This window comes from Homo sapiens, chromosome 6, assembly GCF_000001405.40.
Source record: "Homo sapiens chromosome 6, GRCh38.p14 Primary Assembly".
NCBI classification, from domain to species: domain Eukaryota; kingdom Metazoa; phylum Chordata; class Mammalia; order Primates; family Hominidae; genus Homo; species Homo sapiens.
The window spans coordinates 65878175-65896132 of record NC_000006.12 but is presented as its reverse complement, the minus strand read 5'-3'; the positions used below and the strand labels follow the sequence as shown (position 1 = coordinate 65896132).

Sequence of the window (17958 nt, the reverse complement as noted above, 5' to 3'; positions counted from 1 at the left end):
ACCAGAAAGGTAGATCCATTGACAGCTTGCACTGTGCACTTGGAAAAACAGCAGACACTCAATGCCAGCCTGTGAAAGCAGTCATGGGGTATGTACCCTGAAGAGCCACAGAGGCAGAGCTGCCCAAGTCCTTGGGAGCCCACCCCTTGTATCAGCATGCCTAAGTGTGAGACATGGAATCAAAGGAGGTCATTTTGGAGCTTTAAGATTTAATTGCTGACCCACTGGATTTTGGAATTTCATGAAGCCAGTAGCTCCTTCATATTGGCCAATTTATCCCATTTGGAATGGGAGCACTTATCCAATGCCTATACACCCATTGTATCTTGGAAGTTACTAACTTGCTTTTGATTTTACAGGTTCCTAGGTGGAAGGGACTTGCCTTGTCTCACATGAGAGTTTGGATTGCAGACTTCTGAGATAATGCTGAAATGAATTAAGAGTTTGGGGTACTGGTTGGGAAGGCACGATTGGTTTTGAAATGTAAGAGGACATGAGATTTGGTCGGGGCCAGGGGTGGAATGATATGGTCTGGCTCTGTGTCTGTACCCAAATCTCATCTTGAATTGTAATTCCCATGTGGCAAAGGAGGGACCTGGTGGGAGGTGATTGAATCATGAGGACAGTTTCCCTCATGCTGTTCTCATGAAAGCAAGTGAGTTCTCATGAGATCTGATTGTTTAAAAGTGTTTGGCAGTTCTTTTTCTTCTACTCCTTCTCTCTCTCTCTCTCTTTCTCTTTCGCTCTCTCTCCTGCCACCATGTAAGACGTGCCTTGCTTCCCCTTTACCTTCTGCTGTAACTGTTAAGTTTCCTGAGGCCTTCTCAGCCATGAAGAACTGTGAGTCAATTAAACCTCAAATGGGCTAATACAGATCCCTTGCTGTTCTTATCACAGTAGCCCATAAATGATGAGAGAAAATAGTTTCTTATTGAAAATATCTAATGCTTGCTGTTTAAAGTTGACAAATGGTAGAGCACAACTTGATCATTTGTACATAACATTTAAGAAAATGTGGTAATTTCAGTTTTATGTTGAACAAACATACCTGGGTAAGCAGTGAACCTGCATTTTGGATTCAGTTCTGATAAATATAATTATGTAATAACAATAAGTAAACCACTTAAACTTTCTGGAATACCTCTTTCCTCATCTTTAAAATGAACAGAGTAAGGTTTTCAACTCTAGTTTTTTACACACAGGCTTATTTAAAATTACAATGTGCAAAACAAATAGAAATATGTATGCTATGCTTGAAGGTAGCAAAGCAGAAGAAATTTCTAACCTAATCCCCATATTACAATTTCCTCAGGGATGACTACAGCATCTACAATGAACCAGGGTTCAGTTGGAACTATCCTAAAATGGTCATAACCAGGGATCTTCTAAAGTTCATTTTAGTCATAGGTGTGTTTTATATGGCAGTTAAAACTCTATGAGATCTGTATTGGTCATGTATTGCATGTATTGCTGCATGACAAATTATCTCAAATTTATGGCTTAAAACAACAAAGACTTAGTATTTCACAAGCTATGTGATTCAGGAATCTGGGAATGGCTTAGCTGGGTATATTTGGCTCAGGATAGCTCAAAAAGCCATAGACAAGCTGTGGTCCTGGGTTGAATTTATTAATATCGCAGGGCTTGATTCAGGCTGGAGGATCTGCTTATAAGCTCATTCACGTGGCTATTAGAAGGTCTTAGAATATGTAATTCCAAACTTACTAACATGGTTGTTACAGCCTTAATTCTTTGCCATGTAAGTTTTTCCATAGATTATTCAAGTATTTTTATCATATGGCAGCTAAGGATTTGAGAGTGTGCTAGAGAACACTTAAGGTGGAAGGCACAGTGGTGGCAAAATCTAATTTCAGAAGTGAAATTGTATCATGTTCGCTGTATTCTATTCACCAAACACATGCCACTAAGTCCAGCTCATACTCACAGGGATAAAAACAAAACTTCATGTCTTGAAGGTAGATGCATCAAATAATTTGTGTACAACTGTTTAAAACCATTGAAAGACCTGATGGTGAATTTTACTGGAGGCAGCTGCATTCCTCAGGTGATATGATTATAAGCAAAAAAAGGTCAATCTTTCTGATAGAGAATGTGAAAGTAAATAAATATTATTTATATTATTTCATGACGAGATGCCACTTTGACTAAGCCATAAATGCAAAACCCCTATTCACTCTCATGCATGAACTTACCTGATCTCCAACATATTATATTTAAATGAATATCAATTAAAATTCGACTAATTTATCATTACTCAATCCTACTCAAACTATTCAGAATCACTGAGTTCCATATAGAAATATCTCAAGATCTCTACATTATATTGATGCCACATTACCTTTGAATGCTAAATCCCCAACTAATCTTTTCCTAAACATTACTTAATACTTTGCAATATATCTGTCCTGCTATTCAGTAATCAACATTCTGAGTAATCCCTAGTATTTTAAAAAGTCAAACAGCAACGGAAAAATTGTTTCCCTTAGGAATCTTAGAGGTGAACAATCTGAAAAAAAAATGAATTATATTCAGGTTTTGAAATGTGTTTCTCTTAATGTACATATGAGTCACTATCTTCTTTGATACATATAAATGGCAAATGCAATGTAATATATATTCTGCAATTTCTGTACCACTTTTATTAAGTACTATTCAAAGTGCAAAAATTGTAGTAATTTCAAACATGATTTATAAGGTTATATATACAAAAAAATTTGCAATTTAAGTGGTTGAAAGGGAACAATGAGCTCATATTTTATATTGATATAACAATAAAGTCTCTTAGGATTTATTAGTATTGGTATCCTTGTCCTTCAAGTCCCAGTTAAAATGGTAAGTTCCTTATAAAATTTTCTTCCCAGTATAATTACTTTTTTTTGTACTCTCTCTCATCTCACTTGTACTTACAACAGTTATCTCATTGCAATCCAGCACTCACTAGACTACAAGTTTTGTGAATGTTGAGAATGTGTTCTTATATCTCTTACTTTAATAACTGTAATACAATTATTTATTTACATATCTTCAGCTCTATCTTTGAAGTTTCTGTGCAAAACTAAGCTAATCACCCAATAAATTTAATAATAAAACTACCAGATAAACCATCCATAGTTGTATTAGAAAAAATTAAAATTCTTTTTTGTAACAAACAATCCCAAATTCTCAACGGCTTAAAGCAATGAAGGTTCATTACCTATTCATTCCACAAGTCCAGTCCAGACCTAAAGGAGAGGTCAATTTATCGTCATCACTAGGAGTGATGGAAGATGCTGGCATTGCAGTACAAGGTTTCAGGATTCATCACAACTGGGTAAGAGAGCATGAAGGATCACTTATCAGGTATCAAGAGCTTCCACCTCCAAGTGGCACACACTACTTTTGTTCACATTGCAATGACCATGAAACAAATCACATATTCACAGCTGACTTCAAGACACTGTGTGGCCAGAATGAAGAGTCAAAATCCTGGTGACCACTAGTGATGGCCTCTGCAATAGTCATTACATAGTATAGTATATAATCTATACACAGTTAATGAAGAAAGACAATCAGAGTAGTGAGCCAGAGCATACATGATTAATATAAGTCATTTATATGGAAGTTGGCTTATTTTAAAATAATTTATCACAAATTTTATTGTTTTAACTTGTATCATGACATTAAATGTATGTATATAATATATATAGTAAATAGTCATCATTGGAAGAAAATAATTTAAGAGCTATGACATAGAAAATACAACAACGTTTTATAGTAATGATTTTCTGTACTCTTATAGTATTACAAATATCTATTTATCTAATCTTTAAATATTAAATTTAAAATATTCTTCTAGTTGCCCTTCTTTTTCTAATTTCCTGCCTCTGGTTTATATTGGATCACTGGGTCCTGCCTAGATACCATTTCATCATTTCTCTGATTTAGGTCCGCTTTTTCAACCATATTAAAAGAGTTCTTGTATTTTCTAAGTAACCAGTTACAGAAAAAGTACGATAAATTAACATATTCAGCTCTCATATACATGCACAAATGTAAATCTTTGTCTTGAAACTCATAGAAAACATTTTTCAAAGCAAAAGGAGTTATGTTGAATCTTGAAAAATAATGTCATGATTCTTAGTTGTTTTTGTTTATTGCATTTAACTTTTTGTTATTTCTCTTTAGTTCATAATAGATTCTAATTTGGCATAATGAACATTATACCCACTACTGAATTATGGTGAGAAAATTCATTTTCTTGGCTGTGAGTAAAAAACAGAAAACTTTGTATAATGTAATACACAATCATTGAATTCCCATGACATAATATTGATAGTATTTATCCTAGAATTGTTGAAACTTTAATCTGCCTTTGAAATATAGACAATAAATACATTGTCTATATATATTGTCTATATAAATATGAATATATTGTCTATATTTATTTATTTTTGTTTCTATTAAAGCCTAAAGTGTTTAATTTATATATTATAAAATATTAGCATGGGTTTACCATCATAAAGGTTTGAAGACATTATTAAATTTAAAATGCAAAATTACTTTACATAAAATAACATAAATTACTCCATTACAAAAATTGTGTTCCAGTCAGATTTTTGTCCTTCCATATATGGTTCATATTAATATCTTGCTAACCTAAGCCACTGATGCCCCAGTCACTTCACGTGATTTAACGACAACTCCACCACTTGCTACACACAGAGCAGCTTTCTGGTGGTCCTATTACCTAGTCTTGGACAATTACATTTTCTAACCTATGAATCATAAAGATTGCTTCATGGATGGATAACTGACTCAATACGTTTAAGTGATTTTTTTTTAACTACTGAGAAAATACAATTCTGTTTTCCAAGGTAAAGAGGTAAGATATTAACATAGCATTAATGGGGGGGGGGTCACCATATAAAAATAACTTGCCTGAGAATAAAGCCAACACAGAGATGAAGAAACTGAACTAATAATATATTTAATTTCCTGGATCCAGCTAAGCCTGAAGTTAATTTTATCCTTGGGCTTTTAAGTTGCATTAGTCATTGGATTCTTTTTTATTTCTGGATCAATGTGAGTTTAGTTGTTATAATGTATACCAATGAAGTCCTTATGAGTTCTTCATTTAAACATCTCCTTATGAGATGTCTAAAAGGCAGCTGGACTGGTGATGAAGCATTAGAGATGACAAACTCTCTAAAATTTTTATATAGAGTCTATTAAAATCTAGCACCCAATGCATTTGACAATGGTTGGAGTTTTACAGATTCTACATATAATTTAACCCCATAAAAGAAGTAATTATTATTCAATTCATTATTCATTGTAAGCTTTTCCAATATTGTCATTAAATAGAGCAGCTAAATCAATATTATGAAAATCACTTATGGTAATATACTCTATAATAATTAAAATCATTTTATTATATATTTTAAGTATAATTAAAATTCAGGAGTTCAATTTTAATAGATATCTAGTAAGAGGAAAGAATATTTTATTTTCAAATATTTACTCCTATTTTATATTATATATGTAATTGAAATAGTTGGAAAGTGAATATTATTGACATTTCAGACAATAAAATGATTTCAAAGTTAACACTGAAAAATTCAATGTTATTCTGTTTTATATTTGTCTCTCATTTTCCATACTAAGTGAACCATGGACATGAAATGTGGTTGAAAAGAAAAACAAAACTTCCAATAATTTTATTATTTGCAGTTAACTCGCAATTCTAGAAGCTCAACTTACAGAAATACACTAATGAAAATAAATTTAAAGCATTAAATATGGCAGAAAATGTTTCAAAATACATAAAGTATTAGTAAAATAACTGCCAAGAAAATAAGCCATTCACAAAATGAAGTTATTATCTATAGAATTTTTGTCAATGATGATTACTCAATCTGATCACTCAATCTGATCATTATAAATTGACAAAAAAATAAAATTTGTTCCCAATTTTAACTATATTTTAGTTAAATGTAATGAGTTGAAAATTAATGTATTAATTTTATTGATGTATTACATTAATATATTAATGTAAAATTTATATAGAAATATTTATACTGATCAATCTACATAGAGAAAATGTAATAATAATTGAGAGGAATTTTCACTTAAAAATTGTTCTAAAAGCTAAATATTGATATATTTTCTTCCAGTTCATTGAGATTAAAATGAGTTTTTTATTCACAAATATATTTAAATACACCCTTAACTAGAACTGAAAGTCATACTGATTAATTCTAACATGTATCCCTCATATCCTTTTTTATTCTATTTTACTTCCATTGGGATGTTTTTTTCTAGTCAGCATTTCAACTGTTTCATTTGGAATGAAATATGCTCATCTTCATCAGACTCTTTGATAACTATCTTATAAAGGAAATTGATATTCTTCAAACTTTGTCAACTGTCTTGTTTTTATAACATACTGGTGCTTAAAAACATCCACGAGATTTCTAGGATCCTGAAAAAATACTTAAACCTTATACACCATGGAATACTATACAACCATATAACAGATATTATGTCCTTTACAGAGACATGGATGGAGCTCAAGGCCATTATCCTTAGCAAACTAATGCAGGAGTAGAAGACCAAATATTGCATGTTATCACTTATAAGAAGGAGCTAAGTGATGAGAACGCGTAGACACACAGAGGGCATGACACACACTGAGGCCTGTCAGAGGGTGGAATTTTGGAGGAGGGAGATGAACAGGAAAAGTATCTAGTGGGTACTAGGCTTAATACCTGAGTGATGAAATAATCTTTGCAAAAAAGCGCCCCATGACATAAATGTACCTATATAACAAACCTGCACATGTACTTCTGAACTTAAAATAAAAGTTAAATAAAAAATGAATAAAGCTTAATCTCGTTATGCAGTTATCTAAGTGTTAGATATAATATCTAGTATATGTTATTTAAGTAACAAAACAACAAAATAAGGTTTCCTCGTTTTACAGATGCTGAAACTGAGTAATAAATTATTTAAATAATCTTGCCCAGTCTCTTCAAAATCATACCAATCTGGTTCCAGGATCCAAGGTCTTTATTATCCTACATACTGTTTCTCACTCTACATTGGTATTTAGTTAAGTGCCTAACATTTTGTAACTGCTCAGAATCTATTTGTTTATTATGATTATATATGAAATGACTGCAAGAATGAATAAGGAATATGAATAAATTTCTAATGTCTGCAATGATTTATACAAACTTTGAAAACATGTAAGTTAATCAAATTATTTTAAAAATGCTTAAATCTTGTCTGTTTCATTAATCTATTTTTTCAATAAAGTTATAGTGCTGTATATTAAGTTTTTATTAAGAATGAAGACATCTCTTTAACTCTTTCAAAGCCTATATGAACTTTGTGAAAATTAATCTTGAAGTTAGATTTTCTGAATATTGCTATTAACAAAATTAAATACTAATTGAAATGACTTGGAGACTCAAGGAAAACATTTAATGCTTATAATTATATTTGGAATTTTTTCAAATGATATAAATTTCACATAGTCTAATGCTTCTTCATTCTGTAAAAAAGTACATTGCAATGGAAGTAAGGTGCACATAAATATCTAATGTGTGACTGAATATATAAATGGATAAGCGCAAGACTGTATGTAAAAATAGAATCCACACCCACAACCTGCAGCAATTAGCCCAGGAAGCCAACATCCTATCTCCAGAAACCATCCACAAAAGCTAACCTACTGTCTATAGTAACTAGTCCAAGAAGTCAGACGATTCTCTCGGACAACCAATTTAGGAAGACAAACAATAACCCTTATAACAATAAGCTCTTAATACTTGTCAGCTTCCCTAATATTTGCTGTTATTTAAAACAGGACTAATCAGAGGAACCCAATTACAGAGATGCCCCACTTCTGCTAGCCTGCCTGCAACTTGTCTATGTCAACAGCATACCTGAGACCTTCTTTTTTTATTCTGCTATATATCAAAATCAAGTGATTTCCCTGCTATAGCAAGCTCTGAATAAGTAGCCTTTTCTTGTTCTCATTTCTCTGCTCTTCATTTATGTTTGCCAATCTTGAGTCTAAATAGAGTCAAATATGTTTAACTATTACAAAGCTTTCAAATGATCTATTTTATCAGATGGTTATTTATCACTGTGTTATAATTGATAAGTTGAGATTAAAATATATCCTATAAACATTGTTTAAACATATTTATTATGGTGCTAGCAAGATAATCCAAACATAAAACTTAAACTTATCTGATTTTTGGAAAGAAATCTAAAAATTTCAGAATCAGCAGGATTTATTTTGATTTATTTTCTTTGGTTTGATTATATAAATAAAGTGATAAATAAAACTTAAAATATATTAATGCTCAAAGACTTATTTAAAGGTGAATTAGAGTGAGCTCTCAGGTGAGATTAAAACACTTAAATGTATCACTCATTTTATTCTCTGAATTTTTGTAAAAGGCTTTAAACAATCTTTAGTTTACATGTAGTTCCTGTTGCATTTCTTTGTGGTGTTTCTACTAAGTGTTAAATAATTACTTTTCTATTTTTCATATTTAATAGAAGAAAAAACTGACATAAAAAACGATTCAAATGACAATAATGTATTGTAGATCACTTGTGACAGATTATAAGAGAACCTGGTCATATTGACCATTATGCTTTATCTGTAACCATGTTGATAACCAAGACCACTTCTGGCCGGGTGTGGTGGATCACGCCTGTATCCCAGCACTTTGGGAGGCTGAGGCAGGTGGATCACAAGGTCAGGAGATGGAGACCATCCTGGCTAACACGGTGAAACCCTGTCTCTACTAAAAAAAATACAAAAATCTAGCCGGGCGTGGTGTGGCATGCGCCTGTAGTCCCAGCTACTTGGGAGGCTGAGGCAGGAGAATCGCTTGAACCTGGAAGGTGGAGGTTGCAGTGAGCCAAGATCATGCCACTGCACTCTAGTCTGGGCAACAGAGCAAGACTTCGTCTCAAAATAATAATAATAATAATAATAATAATAATAATAATAATAATAAAATAACCAAGACCACTTCTAACACCAAGTGAGCAATATAATATAGGAGCTTATAAAATCTGGCCACAGTTTGTTCTCTCAGAGTCAGTTTTGATGTCATATCCTGTTTTCCATAGAATTGATAATGGCATGTTTTTTCAGTCAACAGGTTTTGATTTGCTCTAAGTTTCTGGGATATTAGGGTCATTTCTACTTTAGGAATAGGTCTGGTAACTGGAGTAAAATTGTGAATACTTTTTAGTACATTTTTAGTCCAGGATAAAACTTTAAAACTCTTTAAACTTCTCTTTGACTTTGGCAACTCTAACTTTTCAGAACACTATGTTAAGATTATTCTCTTTCAGATTGCAGATTGTTTCTAATTACATTATTCTTATCTTTTGCTCACTTTTCTAATTCTTCATCATACCAAAGTTACCTTTATTTCTAATTCTTCATCATACCAAAGTTACTTCTTTATCTCATAAAATTACCAAATGCAAATCTTAGGAATTTTATGGCTAATTATTGAGTAGATATGAATAAAAGAAGTAATCAAGTGATAATTAATAAATAAACAGAGAGAAGTAAAATCAATGCATTGGTTTGCAAATCAATTAAGAGTATACTAAATTTTCATTTAATTATTTTAATGCTAGTTCTTTATTATTGAGATGAAGGACATACCTTTAGAGCCTCCTTTGGATTTTTATTTCTAACATTCAACTTCTCTCTTTTCTTTCTTTGTTTTGTATTCTCTTCACATATATCATCATTTATATTCCTATTCTTCTATTCATATATCAACATATGTAATATTCTTGGGTAGAATGGTTAGAATCTGTTGGGGGACATAAACATTGTGTATGATTCTGATTTCCCTCATAAAGCAAGACTCAATTGAGGCAAACAGAAAAAGCGAATTCATTGCAAAATCTACAACCTTCATATTTCTGACCACAGATATGAGAAAAAGGGGCTAATAATTCACCTAAAATTATTTCAGTGCATTCAAACTAATTCTGTCATATTTTCTTGTGTTACCCAGGAGGCAGTGAAGTTATTCTCAGGCGTACTGAAAGAGAATCTGTGGCTGACTTGTAGTACACCTGGTAGGAAAACCACTTCAGTATCCCCTATGTGTGGTGTAGGATCAGTTGTAACCTCCGATTTCTTTTTTTTTTTTTTTTTTTTAATTATACTTTAAGTTTTAGGGTACATGTGCACATTGTGCAGGTTAGTTACATATGTATACATGTGCCATGCTGGTGCGCTGCACCCACTAACTCGTCATCTAGCATTAGGTATATCTCCCAATGCTATCCCTCCCCCCTCCCCCCTCCCCACCACAGTCCCCAGAGTGTGATATTCCCCTTCCTGTGTCCATGTGATCTCATTGTTCAATTCCCACCTATGAGTGAGAATATGCGGTATTTGGTTTTTTGTTCTTGCGATAGTTTACTGAGAATGATGGTTTCCAATTTCATCCATGTCCCTACAAAGGACATGAACTCATCATTTTTTATGGCTGCATAGTATTCCATGGTGTATATGTGCCACATTTTCTTAATCCAGTCTATCATTGTTGGACATTTGGGTTGGTTCCAAGTCTTTGCTATTGTGAATAATGCCGCAACACATGAAAAAATGCTCATCATCACTGGCCATCAGAGAAATGCAAATCAAAACCACTATGAGATATCATCTCACACCAGTTAGAATGGCAATCATTAAAAAGTCAGGAAACAACAGGTGCTGGAGAGGATGTGGAGAAATAGGAACACTTTTACACTGTTGGTGGGACTGTAAACTAGTTCAACCATTGTGGAAGTCAATGTGGCAATTCCTCAGGGATCTAGAACTAGAAATACCATTTGACCCAGCCATCCCATTACTGGGTATATACCCAAATGACTATAAATCATGCTGCTATAAAGACACATGCACACGTATGTAACCTCCGATTTCTTATAGCATTCCCTGTGCTGTTAAAGTAACAGAAAATCTTTAATTCCAATCTTTTAAAAATATTGTGTTTTTCTCTTTTGAGAAAAGAGCAAATAACATGTAACTCAATGTTACATCCTGATAGTCCCAATGTCCACTTTAAGCTCACTTTTTTTTCAGTTGTTTATGCCTGTAAATTGGCTAGTATGTTCATTGACAGTTTTCTTTTTCAAAAAATAATTGAATTTCTATTCTCTGTGGAAATATTTGGCTTGCAAGCTACTTTCTTTATTTCTTTATAATATTTCAACTAAAATATAACTCCTGGTAATTATAAAAGCAAACAAAACAGAAACAGTGTGTGAAAATATGTTTAGATTCTTTCAAAATCTGTTTTAAAAATCTAAGCAATACCCTTGCTGTTTTTCTTGATACATGTGGCAATGAATATAAAGATAGCTATGTTCAAATTTGATATCTAAGCACTTTCAATACATTTGCAGATCAACTATAGCAACATCTATTAAATATAAAAGGTCCTATAATAAAAATAAAAATGTCTCTTGTTAGTAGGGTCAGTGGGTCAAGAAACAAAATGTAATCCATGGTGACAATTTGAGATTAAAAAATGATTCCATGTGAGATAATTATTTATCTATTGATGATTATTGAGTATAATTATGGCTTATATTTTGCAGATAATTGTCATTTAGTAGTTTCAGAGAATTTAGAGTTTCAGAAAATTTAACATGAAAATTCCATGTTCTCAGTCATAACAGCCTTGACTGCCTAGATGTACAACCTAATTTAATCAGGCTTATTAATGGCATACTGAAACTTTTATGTAGAAATTTGTGTAAAAATATCATTAAACTTTACATTTATTAGTGAATACAGGCATATACAAAACATCATTATGCAGTGATGAGTCTGTTCTTTCAGTTCTTGTGAAACAAAGACAAATTTAAAACACACATATATTGCACTGCATAGTGACCACAGTTAATAATACTGTTGTATATTTTATATTGTTAAAAAATAGATTTTTAGCATTCTCACCACAAAAAAATAAGTTGGTAAGCAAATACGTGAATTTGCTTGATTAAATCATTCTGTGAAGCCTACAGAGATCAAAACATCACACTGTACTCAGCAAGTATACACAATTATAATTTTTGAACTAAAAATAAAGAAAAATACACATACTTGACATCTGCACCTAATTTTCCATATAATATAAAATATTTAAGTAAACTTTCTTAGAGTTTAATTTTAGTATTATAAAATAATTATTCTTGCCTTTCTCAGTATTTATCAAGTTAGTGGAAAACTGTATTTGTTAGACTTTGATATATAGCTATAAGTTGAGACAGCTTGCTTGTGAGATATAGATTTATTTAAAAATATTTTATTCAGGCTCATAGTCTACTGGGTGATGGATTGTGTGCTGATAGGATGAGATTAAGTTGGTATCATTTCAACATGTTATACTTCATCTTACATTTGTTCAAGGTGTCAAACCTACTGGTCCTTGAAAAATATGTGAGACATTTACTGAGAGACATTTATATTGGCAAAACGTATCAATTCAGCCATAAAACATGAGCTTTCTGACCCTCATATCACATATGGAGAGATTAGTAATTTGTGTCAGACTGATTTTCATTACTTTGACTGATACACCAAGCAGAGTATTCACTGCATTTATACTTTTATCTGGTAAGATCCATGTCAATATTCCCAACATTCTAAGTTTAACTAAAATAGCACAAATGATTCTCTGCATGTATAAAATATGTGCTATATGAGCTCTTTGGATTTGAAAAGTTCATCTAGATTCCTCTGTCTTTGGGAAAAATCTCTTAAATCATAACTTAGATGGAAGAATGCTAGTATAGAAAAAGCTGCTTTAGCTGTTTAATTTCAGCTCTTTCAATCTGTGATCTATGGGTTTGAAAGTTTGGAGGGCAAACCAAGGAAAGCATACTTTGCTCCTCACAACTGGTTCAAACTAAGAGAACTAAATCTTAACTTTGGAATAGCACACATATATGATTGAGAGCCAAGTGCAATGGCTTATGCCTGTAATCTCAGGCATGTAATCTCACTTTGGGAGTCCAAGGAGGGAGGATCACTTGAGCCTAGGAGTTTGAGACCAGCCTGAGGAACATGGTGAGACCTTGTCAATACAAAAAACAAAAAATTAATTGGGTGTGGTGGTGCACATTGTGGTCCCAGCTACTCAGGAAGCTGAGGAGGAAGGATCGCTTGAGCTTAGGAGGTTGAGGCTGCAGTAAGCCTTCACTGCAACACTGCATCCTAGCCTGGGTGACAGAGTGAAACTCTGTCTCAAAGAATTAATTAATTAATTAATGAAATTTTTAAAAGATACGATTGGCATCTGAGGTAGGGTGGCTTAAATGCTTAAAACAAGTATAACATTGCTTCCAAATGAAAAAAAAAAGTGAAAGTCTTGGATGAAAAATGAGATGTGAAATATTAACATTTTTGTTAGAGTAAGAGCTACGAGAAAAATCAAATTTCCTTGACTACATATTACAAGCAACTGTATTGTAAATTCTAGAGGCCATCAGGGACTTTTACCTTTTTAAACAATCAGAAATAGATATCTAGAAAAAAAATTATATTCTTGATTTAGATTTATTTTATTCAAACACTATTATTTGGTTTGACACAAGCAAACCAAAACAAAAATGTTTTTACATATTATTTGGCTGTTTATATTATCAATATATTAGATAATACTTATTAACTGAATAATTACATTTTGATTAATCTTTGGGTGTTAAGCAACTCCCTATGTTATAGGTTACAATTATGCATAAGACAGTCAAGACTTGGGTACCTCTAAAGGAGGTGAGAGGCTATAAACATATACAGAAATGCACAAAACATAAAATATAAGAAAAGTGAAATTAAAAGGATTATACAATAGAGAGTAACTGATGAGCAGAAAGTATTTTAGATAGTATTTAGACTTGGGCAGGATTCTAAAAGATGAAAAAGAACCAACCACTAAGTTCTTGAGGAAGTACATTCTTTGAGGCAAAAACTGCAAAAGTGATGGAGTAGAAAGGAGCATGGTAAGTTTGAACAACACTGTAGTTAGAGCATTGTAAGCATGAGAAGATGCATGTGGGATGGAGTTGGAAAGATAGGCAGTGTCCTAACATGCAGGGCCATGGTGACTTTAGCTTGTATTACAAACTCAATGAAAAGCTCTAAAATGCTTTTCCAAAAAGTGGTTAATACAATCTATTTTACATTTTAGAAAACAATTATAAGTTAAAAATTGTTATAACAAACCATTCAGTAAAGTCGATGGTGATTTGGAATAAAAGACCAGACAAAAAATGTGAACATAATTGAGCTTTTGGAGTTAGCACCAATAAGAATTGTTGATGGCTGTATTTTGCAAATGTATGGCACTTTAAATATACTCACTTTACTACATAGGATATACCTTTAAAGCAAATGCCTACTTCTTATCCAAGACTTGAAAAATATTTGAGAGAGAACATCAAGCTGAAGTTGACTTCCCTAACCCTGAGGTTAAGCATTGATTTTGATAAAATTATTTCAGGTTATGGATCATCTCACTCGTTTTGAAACTCAGGCCATTTACCTTTTTCTTTGTTGATTTTGGCTTAAAATGAAGGAATTAAACAGTCCACTATAACTGATTTTTCTGTGAGTAGTTTTGAATGTTCAACAGACTTTATTAAGTTGGATAAATGAAGATGGTTTATGTTAAATTAATATAAACAGTTTAAAATGTAATAACAGCTCCAAATTTATTTTGACCACTAAGCTACCAGAGATCTTTGTATATTAAATCACACAGTGCATATCTTTCTCCATCTTTAAATCTAGTCGAAACGTTTTCTTCCTCTAACTCTCCTTTTCCCCACCCTGTTAAAATATAGTTACCCAGACAACTAATAATTTTTCTAATTTTATTATTCATACAAGTTTACTTACTTCAAATTCCTCCTCTCAATTCATTTCCTGGCACATTTCACATATTCAAAGCCTATGGGAGAATTTAGATGAACAAAATGACCGTATACACCATGCCTTTCGTGAAGAATAGACAGAGACCCTGAAGTGGACTTGATCAAGGTTACATTTAACCCATAAAAATAAATACCAAAATATAAAATCCTTAGAGATTGGAGTCTAAGGCAAAAATTAATTTTGAAAAAATCAATTTTCTTTTTCTTTTTTAATTTAGCATGTAAAATTAAGCAGCAAAATGAAATGTTAAAAAAAACAAATCGTGTGTGTGTGTGTGTGTGTCCTTTATTCCACAGACAAACTTGTGTGGAATATAGGGATTATAAAATGGAGACCACCCGACCATTTCCATTAAAGGATATATTTATTGTGCAAGAAATCAATGGCTTCAGAAGGAACTTGTTTTAGATATTTTACAATTCCAGATCCAAAAGATTGGCCAGGGGCCCTGATTTTCCTCTATGGGTCCATTGTTAAACTCAATTTTCAGAAGGATTAAAAAGAAATAAAGAAAAACCATCTGCCTAACCCCTCATTATAATACATGAAATCTCTGCATTTTACTCCAATATAGATTACCTAGCTTCACACCAGTAATTTGTTAGTACAATATTGAACTTACCATTGCTAACACATTTTGAAAAGTAGTTGAGAAGACTATGGAATTTCTTTACATATTCAAAAATCTCCTGAAATAGATTATAAGAGAAATGGGTACATGAACAAGTAGTGCTTAATTGATCTGCTGTTGGATAGTCTTTACTAAATTGTGTTTTACCAAGTTGTTGTATGTATGGTAGTAACAGATACATTTCACTTTCTTTTTTTCTTACTCTTTGGGTCTATGGATCTGGGAGTGGAGCTAATAAAGTGTGGAAATTATATCATGAAGAATTAATATTTGCAAGAGAAACGTCTGTTTCCTTAGCACGTGCTTCCTCAGTGGGATGTGATATTGCCTACAATAGATGAAAAATTGGTTTTGGGGCATGGGGAGCAAACAAGAGTACTCTTTTATGTATAAAGCAGAGATACATATGCAACACCTAAAGAGATATACAGCATTCTATGCTATTAAAATTTTCTTTAGGGGAGGGACAATTAGGAAAAACTTAGAAAAATATCAAATTCTCTCCTTAAATGGATAACAATGAAAAAAAGTTGAGAAATACCAGTCTAATATATGTTCAACCTGAGAAGTATACTCTTGAGAAGTATAGGGAACCACCACTCTAAGATTTCACTCTTGCATTCACTAACAAGTATGGTTCTAATTATTAGACTCTTTACTCTCTACAGATATTCCAAGGCAAACTTGTAATTTGTGTTCTAACAAGAAGTAGCCTTATGAGTCCCCCAGGCATTTTTACTAGCTGGATTATTTTGAGGAAATTAATTAATTACATTACATAGTGTTCTCATGTTGAAAACGTTTCAATGAAACATTGACCTGGCCTCAATGCTTATAATAATTGTTCTCCTGAGTATCTGTTTTGTTGTCTTATGAAACTTGTGAAATCTGTAACTATTTCTGTCTTCATATTGGCTAACGGAAAACATAATAAAATTTTTTTACCCAGTATGAAGTGTATAAAAGATTGAAAATATGTATATATGTAACCTAATATTGGTTGTTATATCTTGCTTTCCTGCATTTTTTTTGTTTTATTATTTTAACCTAGTTTTAAATGTATTTAATTTTACATGAATTTTCTTATGGCTTATGCTATCTGCAAATACATTTATAACATAAAAGAGAAATGTAGATAACATGAAAGAAAGGAAAGTAGCTTTTACTTTTAAAAAATGTCAGGGTTTCAAATTTACTATGGACCATTCCAGTACTAAAATTCCAAGTGAGTAAACTCATAAGTGAATCAATCCTTTAACTTATGTTATTATTCAAATGTGAACATCACCCTGTATGATTGTTGAGAACACACTCTGAGTGTTGTGTGTATGTGTGATGAATATGTTTGTGGCCCTTTTGTGAGGCATGGAGACCAACTGACATTCAGCAAAAAGAAACCTAAAGGAATGAAGAATTGTGTACTTCCAATGCCTTTTTATTTATAGAACACAAACTAACAAAAAAATAGGAAGCACTCCTCATATAATGCAAACTCAAATGTGTGGAGAACTGTGTTTTCAACTATATTAGGACAAACATACTGAAGCACTGATGCATTATAACTGAGTGTAAACTTGGCCTATGGAGATCAATATCTGTTTGTGAAGATACTTCTGTTTCCTAAATGTTTACAGTTAAAATAAGACAGGTGTGAATAAGCAAGCCCTTAATAAAACCCCACAGAATCCAGCACATGGCTATTCTTGCTCATACAGTAAACTGTCTATCCTTGGACCAACAAATGTCATTTAAATTCCTATTGTCACAAGACCCTAACTCTTTAACTAGATTGCATGAGAAGTGGAAGGCTCCAGGTGACATACAAAAAGGGGCAGAAGTTATGTGGATCTTGAAGTATTAAAGGAAAACTAAAGCCTTTCCAGTGTCCCCATTACTACATTAGAATTAAACTTAGCAAAGATACAAGTGATGTTGTAAGGACTAAGTTTATTATTTTTTTCACCCCCAATCAAATTGATATTTGGCTGTATGTTTTTATGAATTGTAAACCCAGTTGATTTTGTCTAGGCTTTTATTTAGTTTATTTGATTGGCTGTTTTCTTATTTTAAAAGTCTAGAACCTTTAGGCAGGGCACGGTTGCTCACGCCTGTAATCCAGCACTTTGGGAGGCTGAGGCAGGTGGATTACGATGTCAGGAGTTCGAGACCAGCCTGACCAACATGGTGAAACCCCGTCTCTACTAAAAATATAAAAATTAGCCGGGCATAGTGGCGTGCACCTGTAATCTCAGCTACTCAGGAGGCTGAGGCAGGAGAATCACTTGAACCTGGGAGGTGCAGCTTGCAGTGAGCCGAGATCGTG

At 32.6% G+C, this 17958-nt stretch overlaps 1 annotated feature.

The window, feature by feature from the left end:
• Positions 16880-17049: an enhancer, noted in NCBI's record as "experimental_93741 CRE fragment used in MPRA reporter constructs". NCBI's record gives its function as "activates a minimal promoter by MPRAs in K562 erythroleukemia cells, with activity observed for the non-introgressed 6:66589062 variant allele {active_cell/tissue: K562}" and the evidence as "EXISTENCE:reporter gene assay evidence [ECO:0000049][PMID:34662402]".